Source organism: Homo sapiens, chromosome 20 (assembly GCF_000001405.40).
Source record: "Homo sapiens chromosome 20, GRCh38.p14 Primary Assembly".
Taxonomy (NCBI): domain Eukaryota; kingdom Metazoa; phylum Chordata; class Mammalia; order Primates; family Hominidae; genus Homo; species Homo sapiens.
The window spans coordinates 33,740,055-33,759,528 of NC_000020.11; the positions used below are offsets into that span (position 1 = coordinate 33,740,055).

Sequence of the window (19,474 nt, forward strand, 5' to 3'; positions counted from 1 at the left end):
GGTCTCACCATGTTGGCCAGGATGGTCTCGAACTCCTGACCTCAGGTGCTCTGCCCGCCTTGGCCACCCAGAGTGTTGGGATTACAGGCGTGAGCCACTGCGCCTGGCTCCATCCAGCTTTTTATCCTACGATCCTAAGGTTGTCCTTATGATCCAGGATGGTGGATTGAGTTGCTACCACCATATTCTTATTCTGGGAAGTGGAAAGGAGGATGGGACAAAGAAGAGGGTCACATATCAGGCAGTTTTAAGAAAACTTTCCAGAAGCTGCCACATAGCACATTTACATTCCTTTGGCCAGAACTTAGTCATTCCCTAACTGTAAGAGAGCCTGGGAAGTGTAACCTTTATTTGGGGGCCATCTTTGCAGCCCAAAATCTTGGGCTCTCTCACAATGGAAATAGAAGAGAATGTATATTGGGGCATAGCCGGCCATCCTTGCCATGGGGTTTTGTCTTGCTTGAGACAGGGTCTTGCTCTGTCAAGAGCAAGTACAGTGGAGTGAGGTGATATGATCATGGCTCACTGTACCCTTGACCATCCAGGCTCAAGCAGTCCTCCCGCCTCAGCCTCCCTAGTAGCTGGGACCACAGGCATGCACCACCAAGCCTACCTAAATTTTGTATTTTTTTGTAGAGGTGGAGTCTCACTATGTTGCTGCCTAGAATGGTCTTAAACTCCTGGGCTCAAGCGATCTCCCACCTTAGCCTCCCATGGTGCTGGGATTACAGGTCTGAGCCACCGTACCCAGCCGCCACAGGGGTTTTGCCTGGGTCTGGCTTGTAAGGGTGATGTCAGAGCATGATGCTGGGCCTACCTTCCAAAGAGGCTGCACTTCTTTTTTCAGGAATGGACAATCAGACCGTTCTGGCTGTCCAGTCATTATTGGATGGCCAAGGAGCAGTCCCTGATCCGACAGGCCAGAGTGTCAATGCGCCCCCTGCTATCCAGCCATTGGGTGAGTATCTGCTCAGGTTCACCGGTGGGAGAGTGAATGGCTCCCCGCGAAGAGTAGGTGGAGCTTGTGCTGGGCTGTGGGAGTGAAATGCTTGCTGTGGTCCCCAGGACATGCTCTGGTGTCTGAACCCTCTCCCCCGCCTCCCAGCCGGGATCTTTGGGCTCACGGCTTTCTCTGCTTAGCTCTGAGGACACTGCTCTCAATTGCTTAGTAAATGTGGGGAGATGGGATCAAGATGCAGGGAATGGCTAAGGGCCCCAATGCCTGACAACAATGCCTGTGCCTTTGCCCTGGAAGTGATTATTCAGCCTCCCTTCTGTGGAAAGAATAGGCTGAGCATGAATTGCTCCTGTTTACTGGGCCAGGCCTGTAAGGGTCTTCTTTTTTTTTTTTTTCTTTTTTTTCTTTTTGAGACAGAGTGTTACTCTGTCCTCCAGGCTGGAGTGCAGGGCACGATCTTGGCTCACTGCAACCTCCACCTCCTAGGTTCAAGCAATTCTCATACCTCAGCCTCCTGCGTAGCTGGGATTACAGGCGTGCGCCACCACGCCTGGCTAATTTTTTGTATTTTTAATAGAGATGGGGTTTCACCATGTTGGCCAGGCTGGTCTCAAACGCCTGACCTAAGGTGATCTGCTCACCTCAGCCTCCTAAAGTGCTGGGATTACCTGCATGAGCCACTGCACCTGGCCTGTAAGGGCCTTCTTTTGGAAGTTTCTATGTGAGACTGTGTTCATTTATTCATTCCACAAACATTTTTGTGTACTTGGGAATCACACTAGGGGCAGGGAGATAAATGGCTGGGTTTGAATTATTGTTCTTATAGTTCTTAGCTCTGTGACCGTGGGCAAGTGAGTGAATTTCTCTGTGGTTCAGTTCCTACACCTGTAAAATAGGGACAATTGTTCTGCCTCATAGGAATCTTATGAGAGTACTTGGGATTTGGTTCTAGCTGTTGAAGTTTACCATGGTTTCTACAAGATTAAAGTTTGTTTCTGTGTTACGCGAAGTCCTGATGGGCATTTGGGCATTTGGGGTGGGCATGGTGAGACTCAGACTCCTTCTTTCCTGTGGCTCTACTGCCCTCGAGCTGCAGCCCGGGATGGCTGCTCTAGCTCCCACTTTGATTGGCACATTCCAGCCAACATGAAGGGAAGAAAGAGGGAAGTGGAATTCATACCCTTTCGTTTTGTTTTGTTTTTGAGATGGAGTCTTGCTCTGTCGCCCAGGCTGGAGTGCAGTGGCGCGATCTCGGCTCACTGCAACCTCCGCCTCCCGGGTTCAAGCAATCCTCCTGCCTCAGCCTCCTGAGTAGCTGGGATTACAGGTGCCCGCCACCATGCCCAGCTAATTTTTGTATTTTTAGTAGAGATGGGGTTTCACCACGTTGGTCAGGCTGGTCTCAAACCCCCTGACCTCATGATCACCCGCCTCGGCCTCCCAAAGTGCTGGGATTGCAGGCGTGAGCCACACCGCCCGGCCAAGTCGAGACAGGATTTCATCATGTTGGCCTGGCTGGTCTCGAACTCCTGACCTCAGGTGATCCACCCACTTCAGCTTCCCAAAGTGCAGAGATTACAGGCGTGAACCACCATGCCTGGCCAAAAAACTTCTCTTTAATTAAAAAAAAAAAATAGAGATAGGGTCTCTCTGTGCTGCCCAGGCTGGTCTTGAACTCCTGAGCTCAAGCAATCCTCCCACCTCAGCCTGCCAATGTACTGGGATTGCAGGCATGAGCCACAGTGCCCTGTCCATGCCCTTTCCTTTTCCTTTTATGAGGAAGTTGCAGATACGGTACAGTTCTATTGTTGTCCCATTGGTGAGAATTCTGTCACATGACATTCCTAGCTGCAGAGAAGCCTGGGAAATATATTATTTAACTATGAAGCCATGTTTCCCACTGAAATTTGTATTATTGTATAAGAAGGATACGAGTTGAGAGTGGTGTGCACTATGATCATGCCTGTGAATAGCCACTGTGCTGCAGCCTGGGCAACACAACAGGACCCTGTCTCTCTCTTTTTTTTTTTTTTTTTGAGACGGAGTTTTGCTCATGTTGCCCAGGCTGGAGTGCAATGGCATGATCTTGGCTTACTGCTACCTCTGTCTCCTGGGTTCAAGTGATTCTCCTGCTTCAGCCTCCTGAGTAGCTGGGACTACAGGCACCTGCCACCACACCCGGCTAATTTTTGTATTTTTGGTAGAGACGGGGTTTCGCCATGTTGGCCAGGCTGGTCTCGAACTCGTGACCCTCAGGTGATCCGCCTGCCTCAGCCTCACAAACTGCTGGGATTACAGGCGTGAGCCACCGCACCCTGCCCAATTTTTTTTTTTTTTTTTTTTTTTGAGACAGAGTCTTGCTCTGTTGCCCAGGCTGGAGTGCAGTGGTGTGATCTCGCTCACTGCAACCTCCACCTCCTGGGTTTAAGCAATTCTCCTGCCTCAGCCTCCTGAGTAGCTGAGATTACAGGCATGCACCATCATGCCCAGCTAATTTTGTATTTTTAGGAGAGCTGGGGTTTCACCATGTTGGCCAGGCTGGTCATGAATTCCTGACCTCAAGTGATCCACCCACCTTGGCCTCCCAAAGTGCTAGGATTACAGGTGTGAGTGAGCCACCTCGCCTGGCAACCCGTCTCTTAAAAAAATAAATAAATAAAAAAGGATACAATTAGAATTGAATAACAATTAGACATTTCTGCTACCACATGTTGGGTGCTTGACACAGTGAGCGCATAGCTGTGGTAGGCCCTCAGCAATGGATGGTGTTAACTGTAGTTAATCATTCATTTAGTTTTTCATTCATTCAACAAACGTCCATTGAGAACCTCCTCTGTGTCCAGGAGATATTGTAGTTATGGTGATAAATAAGACACATGTCCTTCCCTTAGGGGACTCACAGTCTGGTGTTGATAAGAAAACTGTTATATGATAGGTGTGCCAGAGGAAGGAACTATAGCCGCTGGCTTTAGAAAAACTTCCTGGAGAGGTCGGTGCAGTGGCTCACGCCTGTAATCCCAGCACTTTGGGAGGCTGAGGTGAGTGGATCCCTTGAGGTCAGGAAGTTCGAGACCAGCCTGGTCAACGTGGTGAAACCCCGTCTCTACTAAAAATACAAAAATTAGCCGGGCGTGGTGGCGCATGCCTGTAATCCCAGCTACTGGGGTGGCTGAGGCAGGAGAATCGCATGAATATGGGAGGCAGAGGTTGCAGAGAGCTGAGATTGTGCCACTGCACCCCAGCCTGGGCAGCAAGAGTGAAACTCTCTCTCAGAAAGAAAAAAAAAAAAAGAAAAGAAAAGGAAAGAAAAAGAAAAAAAGACTTCTTGGAAGAGGTGACAGTCAAGCTGAGGCTTGCAGAACAAGTTGTCCTCAGAGAGGCAGCCTGGCAGGGCGAACGGTGGATGCAAAGGCATGGGAGGAGTATGATCAGGTGGCTCATTTGGGGACTGATGAATAAATTCAGACAGGATAAAGGTTCTGGAGTTCTCAACTTTGTAGTGAACATACTTTACTGTTTTTTGATTTCTAATTAATTGGTACCTGGCCACATATGGCTATCCCTGCAGGAAACTGTGTGGTTTTTTTTCTTTTTTTTGAGATGGAGTCTCGCTCTGTTGCCCAGGCTGGAGTGCAGTGGCACGATCTGGGCTCACTGCAACCTCTGCCTCCTGGGTTCAAGCAATTCTCCTGCCTCAGCCTCCCGAGTAGCTGGGACTATAGGCGCGCACCACCATGCCCAGCTAATTTTTGTATTTTTAGTGGAGATGGGGTTTCGCCATGTTGTCCAGGCTGATCTTGAACTCCTGACCTCAGGTGATCCACCCTCCAAGGCCTCGCAAAGTGCTGGGATTACAGGCATGAGCCACTGTGCCTGGCCACCTGTGTGGCTTCGAAAACTCCCAGGAAGCACATAGTTGATGGCTGACACCTGCATGTCAAGTCGCAGCATGCCCCCCAGATTGCTGCTTGTGGTCAGCTGCAGTTCTCCTGTCTCATACTGTGATGCCCCTTGACATAGTCTTGCTTTTTTTTCATTACTTTACCTTCATCTGTGGCCTCTTCCCACTACTCTGCGGGTATGACCCCAGATGACGAGGATGTATTTCTCTGCGGGAAGTGTAAGAAGCAATTCAACTCGCTGCCAGCGTTTATGACCCACAAGCGGGAACAGTGCCAGGGGAATGCCCCCGCCCTGGCCACAGTCTCACTGGCCACCAACAGCATCTACCCACCTTCGGCAGCACCCACAGCGGTCCAGCAGGCCCCAACTCCTGCCAATCGCCAGGTATTTGTTCATTTATTCATTCAACATGTCTTTTTTGAGGGCCTAACATGCTCAGGCACTGTGCTGGGCACTGGGGCTATAGCAATGGATAAGACAGACCAAGTCCCTGCCCTTGTGGAGTGGGGCGAGATGGATGGTGCACATGTACTGTTTTCAGCATGTTAAATGCGGAGAGATAGGGGATGCCAGACGGGGATGGGAGGTTTTGCCATATTGTCTATCGTGCTTGGGGAAGAGCTCTGTGAAGAGGTGACCAGGAAGAATACTATATAGCAGGTAAAAGGTTTTGTATGAAAAATCAAATTGTAGAATAATAAGTAGATAATATATTATTATTTTTAAAATCTGAAACAATAGTACTATATAATTTCCGCAGTTACTTAAATAAGTAGGAAGAACATACCAGATAGACCTAAGGAGGTGTGGGAATGAGTTATGCGGCTGGTTTGGGGAAGGAAGCAGGAGCCAGGTGCAGGGATCAGCAGATGCAGAGGCCTTGAGGCAGGAGTGTGCTGGGTTTGTTCCAGAACTATAAGGAGGTGAGAGTGGCTGGGACTGAGTAAGTAGGAAGGTGGGAGGTGCTAGGAGAGGCAGCAGGAGGGTCTTGGCAGATCGTGTAGGGTCTGGGCCTTTTTTTTTTTTTTTTTTTGAGACGGAGTCTTGCTCTGTTGCCCAGGCTGGAGTGCAGTGGCGCCATCTCGGCTCACCGCAAGCTCCGCCTCCTGGGTTCACGCCATTCTCCTGCCTCAGCCTCCCAAGTAGCTGGGACTACAGGTGCCCGCCACCACACCAGGCTGATTTTTGTATTTTTAGTAGAGACGGGGTTTCACCATGTTAGCCAGGATGGTCTCAATCTCCTGACCTCGTGATCTGCCCGCCTCGGCCTCCCAAAGTGCTGGGATTACAGGCGTGAGCCACCGCGCCCGGCCTTTTTTTTTTTTTTTTTTTTTTGAGACGGAGTTTCACTCTTGTTGCCCAGGATGGAGTGCAGTGGCAGGATCTCGGCTCACTGCAACCTCCGCCTCCTGGGTTCAAGTGATTCTCCTGCCTCAGCCTCCAGAGTAGCTGGGACTACAGGCGCGCACCACCACGCCCAGCTGATTTTTGTATTTTTAGTAGAGATGGGGTTTCACCATGTTGGCCAAGATATTCTCGATCTCCTGACCTTGTGATCTCCCCGCCTCGGCCGCCCAAAGTGCCAGGATAACAAGTGTGAGCCACCACACCCAGCCGCTGGGGCTTTTACTGAGAATGACATGGGAGCCATTGGAGGCTGTCAAGCAGAGGAGGGACATAGTGACTTTTATCAGGTCACTCTGGCTGCTGGACAGAGAATAGGTTTTGAGGGAGGGTGAGAGAGAAAGCCAGGAGACCCGTTGAGGGACTGTAGTGCAAATCCAGGCAGTGGATGCGGGTAGCTTGACCAGCATGTTGGCAGTGGAGGTGGTGAGAAAGTGTGAGATTTTAGAAATACTTTGAAGGTGTTGCTGATAGAACTTGTGAATTGATTGGGTGAGGAGTGTGAGATCAAGAAGGGTCACAGAGGACTCCTGATTTAGAGTTGCCACTAGCTGAAGGGAGGAGGCTGTGAGGAGAAGGTTTTGGGGGGATGTCAGGAGTTCAGCTGGGCACGTTGAAGTTGAGATGCCTGCCAACCTTTAAACGGAGGCAGTGACAAAGTAGACAATGTAGATTTCCAAGTCCGGAGGCCAGAGCAGAGGACAAGGCTGGAGGCATCTGGGGAAGCTTCCAGAGTCCTCAGCCGAAAACACGGTTCTGGAGCAAAGACACCCTGGATAGGGGGCTCATAGAAAGACTAAAGGATCCCTCATAAAGGAGGCTGGGCATATCTCAGGATGCCAGGTCAAGGGGTCAGATTTTCAACTGGCTTCCTTTTCTTTCCTTATCCCTTTAGAACATTATCTTCATTCATTGTATAGGTGTCATTTCTGCCATCACTATGAAAGCATTCACCCCAGACCCATAGGACATATAGACTGAAACAGGCATCTTCTGGCATAAAACAGTCATTTTGGCCGGGCGCGGTGGCTCACGCCTGTAATCCCAGCACTTTGGGAGGCCGAGGCGGGCGGATCACGAGGTCAGGAGATCGAGACCATCCCGGCTAAAACGGTGAAACCCCGTCTCTACTAAAAATACAAAAAATTAGCCGGGCGTAGTGGCGGGCGCCTGTAGTCCCAGCTACTTGGGAGGCTGAGGCAGGAGAATGGCGTGGACCCGGGAGGCGGAGCTTGCAGTGAGCCGAGGTCCCGCCACTGCACTCCAGCCTGGGCGACAGAGCGAGACTCCGTCTCAAAAAAAAAAAAAAAAAAAAAAAAAAAACACAGTCATTTTTCTCACTGCTTGACTGTGAGTTTTGCTAGTAGAAAATATTCCCCTCACCATCTCTTACCTTTTTTTTTTTTTTTTTGAGACAAGGTCTTACTGTCGCTCAGGCTGGCCTTGGCTCACTGCAACCTCCATCTGCCAGGTTCAAGTGATTCTCCTGCCTCAGCCTCCTGAGTAGCTGGGACTACAGACACCCGCCACCATGCCCAGCTAATTTTTGTATTTTTATTGGAGATGGGGTTTCACTGTTGGCCAGGCTGGTCTCGAACTCCTGACCTCAAGTGATCCGCCTGTCTTGGCCTCCCAAAGTGCTGGAATTACAGGCATGAGCCACCGTGCCACACCAGATATTCTTCTTGACCTAAGATACTTGTGGACTTCATGTGGACATGTGTTCAGTGTTTCTCTAGCATAGATACAAGGAAGTATTTTTTTTTCTCTTGAGATGGAGTCTCACTCTGTCGCCAGGCTGGAGTGCAGTGGCACGATCTCAGCTCACTGCAACCTCCATCTCCCAGGTTCAAGCGGTTCTCCTGCCTCAGCCTCCTGAGTAGCTGGGACTACAGGCGCGCACTACCACGCCTAGCTACTTTTTGTATTTTTAGTAGAGATGGGGTTTCACCACGTTGGCCAGGATGGTCTCGATCTCTTGACCTCGTGATCTGCCCGCCTCAGCCTCCCAAAGTGCTGGGATTACAGGCGTGAGCCACCATGCCTGGCTGATACAAGGAAGTATTATTACTGAGTCATAGGGTATGTACTTTGCAGAGGGATGTGAGTTATTCTCCTCATTTGTTTTTTCTTTCATTCCGTTTTTGTTTGTTTGTTTTTAGAGACAGAGTCTCTAAAACCACACCAGCTGCGTGCAAAACCACACCGGCTAATTTTTGTATTTTTCTTGTAGAGACAGGGTTTCACCATGTTGCCCAGGCTGGTCTTGAACTCCTGGGTTCAAGTGATTCACCTGCCTCAGCCTCCCAAAATGCTGGGATTATAGTTGTGAGCCACCGTGCCCAGTCTTATCATCCTCATTCAGTAGATGATTAAATGGAGGCACAGAGAGGTAGAGTGACTTGCCCAGGGTCACACAGCAGGGAGCAGCAGAGGTAGAAATGGAATCCACGTCTGTGGGATTCCAGAACCTGGATCTTTTGTGCCATGCCCTCGGCTTACTTACAGAGCCTGACATGTCCACACATGCACACACGCACACATGAGCACACACACACTCTGTCTCTCTCCGTCTCACTCATTCTCTCTCTCCCACTGTCCAGATCTCCACATACATCACAGTGCCCCCGTCCCCACTGATCCAGACCCTGGTGCAGGGGAACATCTTGGTGAGCGATGATGTGCTCATGTCTGCCATGTCAGCCTTCACATCCCTGGACCAGCCCATGCCCCAGGGCCCCCCACCTGTGCAGGTAAGAAGGTGTGGGCTTCTCACAGGGTCTTGATTCCAGACCTGTACATTAACTCCTGCAGATTCAGAATCTTGTAGAATAAAGGGGGCCTGGCCCCAGCTCTCCCTGATGCTGAGGGAGGCTATCAGCTTTCCCTTGTCCAGCTCTGCTATAGATGGGGAAGCTGCTACGTCTAGGTGGGGACCCAGAACATGTGGGGCTTTGTCAATACAGTGCAGCTATTTTGACTTTTTTTTTTGAGATGGAGTCTCACTCTGTTGCCCAGGCTGGAGTGCAGTGGCACGATCTTGGCTCACTGCAACCTCTGCCTCCTGGGTTCAAGTGATTCTTCTGCCTCAGCCTCCTGAGTAGCTGAGATTACAGGCATGTGCCACCACAGCCAGCTAATTTTTTTTTGTATTTTTAGTAGAGACAGGTTTTCTCCATGTTGATCAGGCTGATCACGAACTCTTGACCTCAAGTGAGCCCCCCACCTCAGCCTCCTGAAGTGCTAGGATTACAGGTGTGAGCCACTGTGCCCAGCCAATTTTTGTATTTTTAATGGAGACGGGGTTTCACCATGTTGGCCAGGCTGGTCTCAAACTCCTGACCTCAGGTGATCCTCCCACCTTGGCCTCCCAAAGTGCTGGGATTACAGGATTACAGGTGTGAGCCACTGCACCCAGCCTGACTTTTGTTTTTGTTCTTTTTTTTTTTTTGAGACAGAGTCTTGCTCTGTTGCCCAGGCTGAAGTGCAGTGGTGCGATCTTGGCTCCCTGCAACTTCCACCTCCCAGGTCCAAGCAATTCTCCTGCCTCAACCTCCTGAGTAGCTGGGATTACAGGTGTGCGCCACCACGCCCAGCTGATTTTTGTATTTTTAGTAGAGATGGGGTTTCACTGTGTTGGTCAGGCTGGTCTCAAACTCATGACCTCAGGTGATCCACCTGCCTTGGCCCAAAGTGCTGGGATCACAGGTGTGCGCCACCGCGCCCAGCCTTGTTTTTATTCTTAACAAGTGTCCCATGTCTATTAGAAAAATAGAAAATGCACAGTAGCTCCCTGGGATTTAAAAAAAAAATTTTTGTAGAGATGACCATCTCCCTTTGTTGTCCAGGCTGATCTTGAACTCCTGGGCTCAAGGGATCCTCTAGTGTCGGCCTCTCAAAGTGCTGGGATTGTAGACGTGAGCTACTGCACCTGGCCAGGATTTTTTAATACAAAAAAGATCTGTGGCCAAAGGAACCTAAGGTGGAGGTGTTTTACTTCTCCCCTTGCTGTGTCCCTGGATTCTTCCTGCCATATAGAAATCCTTTTGATTTTCTCAACCGAGACTTTTTTTTTCCCTGTTTGGGAACCCAACGAACACAGTGAAGAAGAGGACCCCGTGTCCTTTATGAAATGCTGATCAGCATCATGTTTTTATTTTTGAGACAGCGTCTCACTCAGGTCACTCAGGCTGGAGTACAGTGGTAGGATCATAGCTCACTGTAACCTCAAACTCCAGGGCTCAAGCAATCCTCCCTGCTCAGCCTCCTGAGGAGCTGGGACTACATACATGGTGCCAACATACTTGGCTAATTTTAAAAAAAAATTTTTTTTTTTTTGAGATGGAGTCTCGCTCTTGTCACCTAGGCTGGAGTGCAGTGGCACCATCTCGGCTCACTGCAATCTCCGCATCCTGGGTTCAAGCGATTCTCCTGTCTCAGCCTCCTGAGTAGCTGGTATTACAGGCACCCGCCACCATGTCTGGCTAATTTTTGTACTTTTAGTAGAGACAAGGTTTTGCCATGTTGGCCAGGCTGGTCTTGAACTCCTGACCTCAGGTGATCTGCCCACCTTGGCCTCCCAAAGTCCTGGGATTACAGGCGTGAGCCACCGTGCCTGGCCTAAAAAAATTTTTTTTTAGAGACAGAGTCTCGCTATGTTACCCAGGCTGGTCTTGAACTCCTGGGCTCAAGCAATCCTCCTCCCTCTGTCTCCCAAAGTGCTGGGATTACAGGTGTGAGCCACTGCACCCAGCAGTACCATCATTTTAACAACTGCAAAGGATTCCACCATATGGATAGGCCATCTTCTGCTTAGCCAAGTTTCTATGTATAGACATGTAGGTCATTGCTGTTTTTTGCTTTTATGAAAATGGCTGGAGTCACTATCCATAAACAGACATCTTTGCCCACCTGCTTGATTTTTTTTGTAGCATAAATTTCTAGAAGTTACTGGCTGCGTTTCACGACTACCCACACATTCATGATTCTCTCAAAAGACTCACGGGACTCAGAGGTAGTTGTACTCATGGCTGTGGTTTATTACAGCAAAGGAACACACAGCAAGATCAGCAAGGGAAAAAGACACATCAGGTGGAATCTGGAGGAATCCAGAGTTCTCTGTCTTGGGGAGGTGGGGAGAGGTTGCACAAAACACACTTCTTCCTGCAGCAGTGAAGTCTAGCAACATGTGTGCTGTGTTTCTACCCAGGGAAACACACTTCAGACTCCAAAGCCAGGGTTTTGTTTGTTTGTTTGTTTGTTTGTTTTTCTGAGACAGGGTCTCACTTCAGCTGCCCTGGCTGGAGTGCAGTGGTGCAATTTCGGCTCACTGCAACCTCCACCTCCCTGGGCTCAGGTGATTCTCCCACCTCAGCCTCCCAAGTAGCTGGGACTACAGGTGTGCACCACTATGCCTGGCTAATGTTTTTGTATTTTTAGTAGAGATGGGGTTTTGCCATGTTGCCCAGGCTGGTCTCAAACTCCTGGACTCCACCCGCCTCAGCCTCCCAAAGTGTTGAGATTACAGGTGTTAGCCGCTGCACCAAGCCCAAGGCCAGGGTTTCTGTTAGGGATTGGTCATGTAGGTGACCAGCCACCATGACCAAAATTCCAGACTCCCAGAAGAGAAGGAAGTGTTCACCATGAATCACATATTTTGTCCAAGCAGTCTACATAATCTGGTACAATAGAACAGTGCCCCAGGTGGGCAAAATAAGCCTTATCAACAAAGGAGATGTCCCACAAACCAGATTCTCAGATCCCAGTCACGAGCTAGTGCTGCAAGCAAGCCCCCCCCCCTTTTTTTTTAATTTTATAACTTTATTTGAGGTATTTGATGATCAGCGATTAGTTCTCATCCACATTGACTGTCTGTAGATTTTTGAAAGTGGTAACAGGTACATAGGTAACCAAAGTATAGAGCTTATTTGGTGGATCTTCATCCTCATAACATTTTCTGGACAACCGCACACGGATGCAGTATGGGACATTCTTTATTCCTTTGTCTCAGACAGCTTTGTTGAGGCTGGTATCAATGCACACATCTGGAGTTCCCATCTCCTTCATGGCAAGTTTCCGAATCTCTTTGAGTGCCTGAGGAGCACGCTTCTTGAAGCCACTCCATGGATGCACTTGTGAATGTTGATGGTGTATTCTCAGGTCACCACCTCATTGATGGCCGAATGACCCTTTTTCTTCTCGCCACCCTTCTTTCTGGGAGCCATTCTGCTGGGTCCAAGATGGAAAGGGAAGCCCTTCTTAAGATAGCAACATTAGGCTGCTATATTAACTCTTTTCTGCATGAATGAGGTCATTTTTGCCTATTTTCTTTTCTTTTTTTTTTTTTTTTTTGAGATGGAGTCTTGCTCTGTCACCCAGGCTAAAGTGTGGTGGTGCAATCTCCACTCACTGCCAGCTCCGTCTCCCAGGTTCACACCATTCTCCTGCCTCAGCCTCCCGATAGCTGGGACTACAGGCGCCCGCCACCACGCCCGGCTAATTTTTTGTATTTTTAGTAGAGACAGGGTTTCACCATTAGCCAAGGTTGTCTCGATCTCCTGACCTCGTGATCCGCCCGCCTCAGCTCCCAAAGTGTTGGGATTACAGGCGTGAGCCACTGCGCCCGGCCATTTTTGCCTACTTTCATAGGGAAAAGGGATAGCAGCACCAAGCTGAGGCTTCCTTCGAATTCTCCCATGACTTTGTTTCCCCAACCTCTCTTAGCCCCTCTCCTGAGCTGTCTGGTAAGTAGCTGTTTTTCCACCTGGCTGGCTAAAGCAAATGTCCTTCCTTCCTGATAAATAAGACAACTGGTATCAAGAGGCTATAACACTTTTTCTTTTCTGATTTCAGAGCAGCCTGAACATGCATTCCGTGCCCAGCTACCTCACCCAGCCTCCACCTCCTCCTCCACCTCCTCCACCACTGCCCCCACCGCCACCACCTCAGCCTCCACCACCTCCACCCCAGAGCCTGGGCCCCCCTGGGCGTCCCAACCCTGGTGGGAACGGTGTGGTGGAGGTGTACAGTGCTGCTGCGCCCCTGGCTGGGAGTGGAACGGTGGAGATCCAGGCACTGGGGATGCAGCCCTACCCACCCCTAGAGGTGAGCAGAGGGGGCAGGGTGGAAGAGGACACTGGTCATGGACATCATGGCCAACCCGGACCCATCCTGAGCACCAGCTGTGTGCCAGACACTGTGCTGGGGATACCATGAAAACCAGACCCGGTCCTGGCCTTCATGGGGTGTACCACATCACAGGGGAGAAGGACTTTAATCAAAGCATCACACCCACAGATGTAAGATGCAAGCCATGAGAAGGTGGAATGGAGTACAGGTTGTAGCAGAAATATAAGCTGCCTGCAGGTAATGCTCAGAACAGTCAGAGAATGCCTACCTTTTCAGGCAAAAAAAAGAAAAAAGATTCAAAAAAATTATCTGCCTGAGTGTCTCTTACAGTTTTTAATAAGCTAGGTGTATCAGTTAGCTATTGCTGGGTAAGAAATATCCATCAGGCATCAGTGGCATATACCAAAAGTGTTTATTATTCACGTGTTTACAGTGGTCAGCTAGACAACTGCGGATCTTGGCTGGGCTCACTCATATGTCTGAACGTTGGCTGGCTGTCAGCTGCTCTAGGATGGCCTGGGCTGGGACAAGTGGGGTGACTCAGCTCTGTTCTGCGTGACTCTCATCCTCCACTAGGTTCTCATGGCCATGGTGGAGGTGCAAAAATGCAGACAGAAATGCCCAAGGCCTTTTGAGGTTTAGGCTTGTAAGTAACACAGAATCACTTCTATTGGCCAAAGCAGATCACAAGTCCAGCTTAGATAGCGCAGGTAGGGAAATAGATGCCACCTCTTGATGGGAGGAACTGCAGAGTCACACTGCAAAGGCTTGGGTACAGGGAGGGGCAAAGAATTGGTGCCATAATACAATCAATGTACCATACTAATTCCCTGCCAATGAGCTCTAAGTTATAGGCCATCTACTTGAAATGCACTGAGTTCATAGAACCTTCCAAGACACCAGTGCTAGAGGGTATGGTTATGACAGAAACAACCCACCTGCACTAGAAATCACACTAACTCAGACTCACCATAGAATCCAGCCACAGACATCCCCTGTCAGGTAGTCTCTTTATGTAAAGAGAGCCCAGACCAGTGGGAAGATCCCACCACGAGGCATTCACGTGATGTTCTGAGGGGCTGCGAGGGGATTTGCCCTACCCTGGGAGAATAGAACAAGCTTCTCTAGGGAATTTATTGCATTGAGAAAAAGTTAAGTTAGTGGGATGCTGAGATAATGCTGGTGGCTTGTGGTAGTCAGAGGGGACCAGCCCAGAGAGGACCAGCACAGAAGGAGCTGCTGCTGTTGATTTTCCATGTAGATGAGGGTATTTGAGGGCAGGGTCTGAGTCTTACTAGACTTTGCATCCTTAGCACCTAGCAGAGCACTCCTAGAGTAGATATCTTACATTGGACTGTCTGACCTCAGTCTGCGCTCCTCTAAAATGGGAACTCTCCTGAAAAGCTGTTGAGGATAATAAGAGCCTATGCCAGTGGCAGTCACATTAATTACTCAGTAATGCCTTGAGTGATGGCTGAATTTATTCACGTGACAAGTATTTATTTATTTATTTGAGACAGAGTCTCACTCTATCGCCCAGGTTGGAGTGCAGTGGTGTGATCTCGGCTCACTGCAACCTCCACCTCTCAGGTTCAAGCGATTCTCGTGCCTCAGCCTCCCAAGTAGCTGGTATTACAGGTATGAGCTACCACGCCCAACTAATTTTTTTTGTATTTTTAGTAGAAACGGGTTTCACCATGATGGCCAGGCTGGTCTCGAACTCCTGGCCTCAGGTGATCTGCCTGCCTTGGCCTCCCAAAGTGCTGGGATTACAGGCATGAGCCACCACACCCGTCCCAACAAGTATTTATTGAGTGCTGTATTGGTCAGGGTTTGGTCAGGAAAATAGAAACCAGGCAAGGTATTTCTGCAGAGGGATGTTTTTTCTTTTCTAAATTAGAGATAGGGGTCTCACTTTAGCCCAGGTTGGTCTCCATCTCCTGGCCTCAAGTGATCCTCTCACCTCAGCCTCCCAGAGTGCTGGGATTACAGGCATGAGCCACCATACCCGGCCAGATTTTATAATTTTTTTTGTACCTTTTTTTCAGCTTTGTCTGATTTTATTACTCCAACTGTAGCTTTCTATTTATTTATATTTGTCTGAAATATTTTTTCAACTTTGGGCTTTTTGCTGAGTTGAATTCTTTTTTTTTTTTTTTTTTTGAGACTGAGTCTTGCTCTGTCACCCAGGCTGGAGTGCAATGGCATGATCACGGCTCACCACAGTCTCGATCTCCCAGGCTCAGATGATTCTCCCACCTCAGCCTCCTGAGTAACTGGGACTACAGGCATGCACCACCATGCCCATCTAATTTTTTTAATGTTTTGTGGAGATGAGATCTCCCTATGTTGCCCAGGCTAGTCTCAAACTCTTGTGCTCAAGTGATCCTCCTTCCTCGGCCTGCCAAAGTGCTGGAATTACAGGCATGAGCCATCGTGCCTGGCCAGAGATTTTGGATAGGACACCTCAGGAAGACCAATGGATGATGAATAGGCCAGGCACAGGGGCTCACGCCTGTAATCCCTGCACTTTGGGAGCCCGAGGTGGGTGGATCACTTAAGCTCAGGAGTTTGAGTCCAGCTTGGGCAACATGGTGAAATCTTGTCTCTACAAATTACACAAAAATTATCTGGGCATGGTGGTGTGTGCCTGTTATCCCAGCTATTTGGTGGGGTGAGGCGGGAGGGTTGCTTGAGCCTGGGAGGTCAAGGCTGCAGTGAGCCGAGATCACATCATTGCATTCCAGCCTGGACAATAGAGCAAGAAAAATCTGAATGCCTCAGAATTCATTTGGTAATTTCTCGTGGCTTCAGTTCTCAGTGAAGAGAAGCCTGCTACTCTGGCATTGGGTAGTGTCAGTCAGGAAGTGGAGCAGCTGGGGGAGCACAGACCCCTCTGACTTCCTGGTTCTCTCTCTCTCTTTTTTTTTTTTTTTTGAGACAGAGTCTCACTCCATCGCCCAGGCTGGAGTGCAGTGGCGCGATCTCGGCCCACTGCAACCTCCGCCTCCCAGGCTCAAGTGATTCTCCTGCCTTAGCCTCCTGAGTAGCTGGGATTACAGGCACACACCACCATGCCTGACTTAATTTTTGTATTTTTAGTAGAGATGGGGTTTCACCATGTTGGCCAGGCTGGTCTCAAACTCCTGACCTTAGGTGATCTGCCCACCTTGGTCTCCCAAAGTGCTGGGATTACAGGTGTGAGCCACCAGGCTCAGCCACCTAGTTCTCTTAATGCTAGCAAAGTACCACTGATAAGAATAGACAGGGCAAATAATAACAGCTAATGTGTATTGCATGCTCACTCTATGCCAGTCACTGTTCTAAGCCCTTTATATGTTGCTTCATTTAATCTTCACAGTAACCGCATGAGAGGGGTACTATGATGAGTCCCATTTTACAGATGTGGAAACTGAGACAGAGAAATTAAAAAGATGCCTAAGGTCACTTCGGTGCTAAGTGGAAGAGTCAAGATTTGAATCCAGGCAGCCTGGCTCCATAGCTGTTCTGGCCTCCTGGCTTCATGAAGTTCTAAGGGAGCTTGGGAGTGGCTTGGGTGACCGGGCCAGGTGGAGGGGCTGTGATGGTGATGTAGGGGAGAGCGGCTGAGGTCAATCAGGGAGGCAGGGAGAGTGCCCCTGGCTGGGAGCTCTTCCCCTTCCCTGGCAGGGCTTTTTCCCTGACTGTGTTGTCCTCCTAGGTGCCAAACCAGTGTGTGGAGCCTCCAGTATATCCCACCCCCACAGTGTACAGCCCTGGCAAACAGGGATTCAAACCCAAAGGACCAAACCCCGCCGCCCCCATGACCAGCGCCACCGGGGGCACGGTGGCCACCTTTGACTCTCCAGCAACGCTGAAGACCCGACGAGCTAAAGGTGCCAGGGGACTCCCGGAAGGTGGGCCCCCAGCCTGCCATGGGCATCTTTCCTCAACATTGGCCAATCCACAAGCTACTTGGTTCTGGTCTTCCCTTTTATGGTTGTTCAAGTTTGGTTGCATGTAATAGAAAATTCAAAATATCAATGACTTCAAAATGATAGAATTTTGTTTCTCTCCTGTGTAAGTCAAGGCCAGAAGCCAGACAATCTGGGGATCATGTGACTGCATGGGCACCAGGCACCCTCGTTTCTTCTGTCTTTCTGTTTCCACCACCTCCAGAACATGGTATCAGTTATCCTGGTGCCTCATTGTCTAAGATGGCTGCTGGAGCTCCAGTCATCACTTTAATATTCCAGGCAGTAAGAAGAAGGGAAAGAGAAGGATAAAAGGGGCTTCTCCCAGCTTCTAGAAGTTCTGTTTGATATTTTTGCTCATATCTCATTGATGAAAACTTAGTCACATGGCCATACCTAGCTGCAAGAGAAGCTGGGAAGTGTCTATTTTGGCTAGGGACATTGATATTCCCATTATGGGATTTGTGAGGAGTGAAGAAGGAGAGAGTGGATATTAGGCAAGCAGTAGTATCTGCCATCCTAATGCAGATGCTAAGTATGGGGTGGGAGGTGGTGTCAGAGCAGGCAGCAGATGGAGAGGATAGAAATTGAGAATTTTTCAGTGGCTTTCCAGTCAACTACTCCTCCCCTTCCTTCCTTCCACAATGATGTATTGAGCATCTGTGTGCCAGGCCCCATGTCAGGCACTGGAATCTAGTCTCTTGGTCTATGATTCCTTCTGCCTTCAGTTTAATGGAAGAGACAGACAGGGAATAAATAAATAAATATTTCTGGGTTGCTCCAGGAAGGAGGTTAATGGGTCTTATGATTGAGAATAACTAGGGAGAGGCTGGAAAATGATTCTACCTATTCATGTGGGAGGAGAAGGAAGCAGCCTTGTGGGTATCTGTGGGACAAGCATTCCAGGCAAGGGGGAACAGCAGGTGCAAAGGCCCGGAGGCAGGAACATGCTTGAAGTCTTTTAAGGTTAGCAAGGTTAGCTAGGAGTCCACTGCAGCTGGATGGAGAGAATGATGAGGTTGTCAGGAGTAAGGGGATACAGAGTGCTGTGGGCCATGGCAAAGAGCGTGGATTTGATTGTAGGGCAGAGGGGAGCCTTTGAAGGATTCATCTTGCTTTCCCAGCTGGAGCATGTCCTGGGCTTTCCTCTCCAGGCCCTGTGAAGCTCTCCCATGTCTCCTCCCTGGCCTGTGTATGGGCATAGACTTCCCTGGGGTATGGATTGTCTGGCTCAGATACAGTAGTCAGAGGCTGCCCTTGGTGCCCTGAGCTGCACCCCCAGCCTCATTGTCCCCTCCTTCCACTTGTCTTTCAGCTGCAGGGAAGCCAAAGGCTCAGAAACTCAAGTGCTCATACTGTGACAAGTCATTCACCAAAAACTTTGACCTGCAGCAGCACATCCGAAGGTACACATGCGTGGTGAGGCAGGTGGCTCCTGGGCAGGTGTGGCTGGGACCATCTGTGCTGGAAGCGAGACTCCCTTCTCAGCCCCTAGCCTGTGGGGTGACCCAGGCTGCACTTGCATGTTCAGGCTGTAGTCCAGGTCGGGTGGTTTTCCCTCTTCTATCTCAGAGGCTGTGGGAGGGACCTGTGAAAGCTGTGGGACCTGCCCATAGAGACTGGGAAGGTCAGGGATGGGCCGTGTAGGGGAAGAAAAGCACTGAACCCAGAGGGGTTTCACAGATGTGTTAGTGCTGTCTTAGGCCTCCCCTCTGCAGAACAGGCTGGCCTACCAGGGCTGCCATACTCTGCAAATAGGACTCTGTGAGCTCTCTGCTCACTCCAGACTAACCATGCAGGGATCCCTTCTGGGCCTTGGTTTTTCCATCTGTGGAAGGGGAGGCTGGGCTTGTTCATTTCTCACACAGTGAAATGCACTGGTACATGAGATGATTTTTTTTGAGACTGAGTTTCACTCTTGTTGCCCAGGCTGGAGTGCAATGGTGCAATCTCGGCTCACTGCAACCTCTGACTCCTGGGTTCATGTGATTCCACTGCCTCAGCCTCCCGAGTAGCTTGGATTACAGGCATGCGCCACCACGCCCGGCTAATTTTGTATTTTTGGTAGAGATGGGGTTTCTCCATGTTGGTCAGGCTGGTCTTGAACTCCCAACCTCAGGTGATCCAC

At 49.6% G+C, this 19,474-nt stretch overlaps 1 protein-coding gene and 1 pseudogene across 4 annotated transcripts in view; one reads left to right on the forward strand and one right to left on the reverse strand.

Moving 5' to 3' along the window:
- Window positions 1–19,474, forward strand: part of ZNF341 (zinc finger protein 341) — a 60,274-nt gene that overhangs the window by 8,059 nt on the left and 32,741 nt on the right. For 2 of the 4 annotated variants that reach the window (NR_104259.2, NM_001282933.2), the window contains exons 2-7: window positions 848–958; window positions 5,049–5,245; window positions 8,869–9,018; window positions 13,118–13,369; window positions 17,094–17,289; window positions 18,662–18,752. Coding sequence is in view for 3 of the 4 variants with exons in the window: in NM_001282933.2 (NP_001269862.1) it covers window positions 848–958; window positions 5,049–5,245; window positions 8,869–9,018; window positions 13,118–13,369; window positions 17,094–17,289; window positions 18,662–18,752 (997 nt within the window). In the remaining variant the exon portion in view is untranslated. The remainder of the gene's footprint in view (window positions 1–847; window positions 959–5,048; window positions 5,246–8,868; window positions 9,019–13,117; window positions 13,370–17,093; window positions 17,290–18,661; window positions 18,753–19,474) is intronic. The other 2 variants (NM_032819.5, NM_001282935.2) reach the window with 2 other exon arrangements.
- On the reverse strand, window positions 12,074–12,513 carry RPL31P2 (ribosomal protein L31 pseudogene 2; annotated as a pseudogene).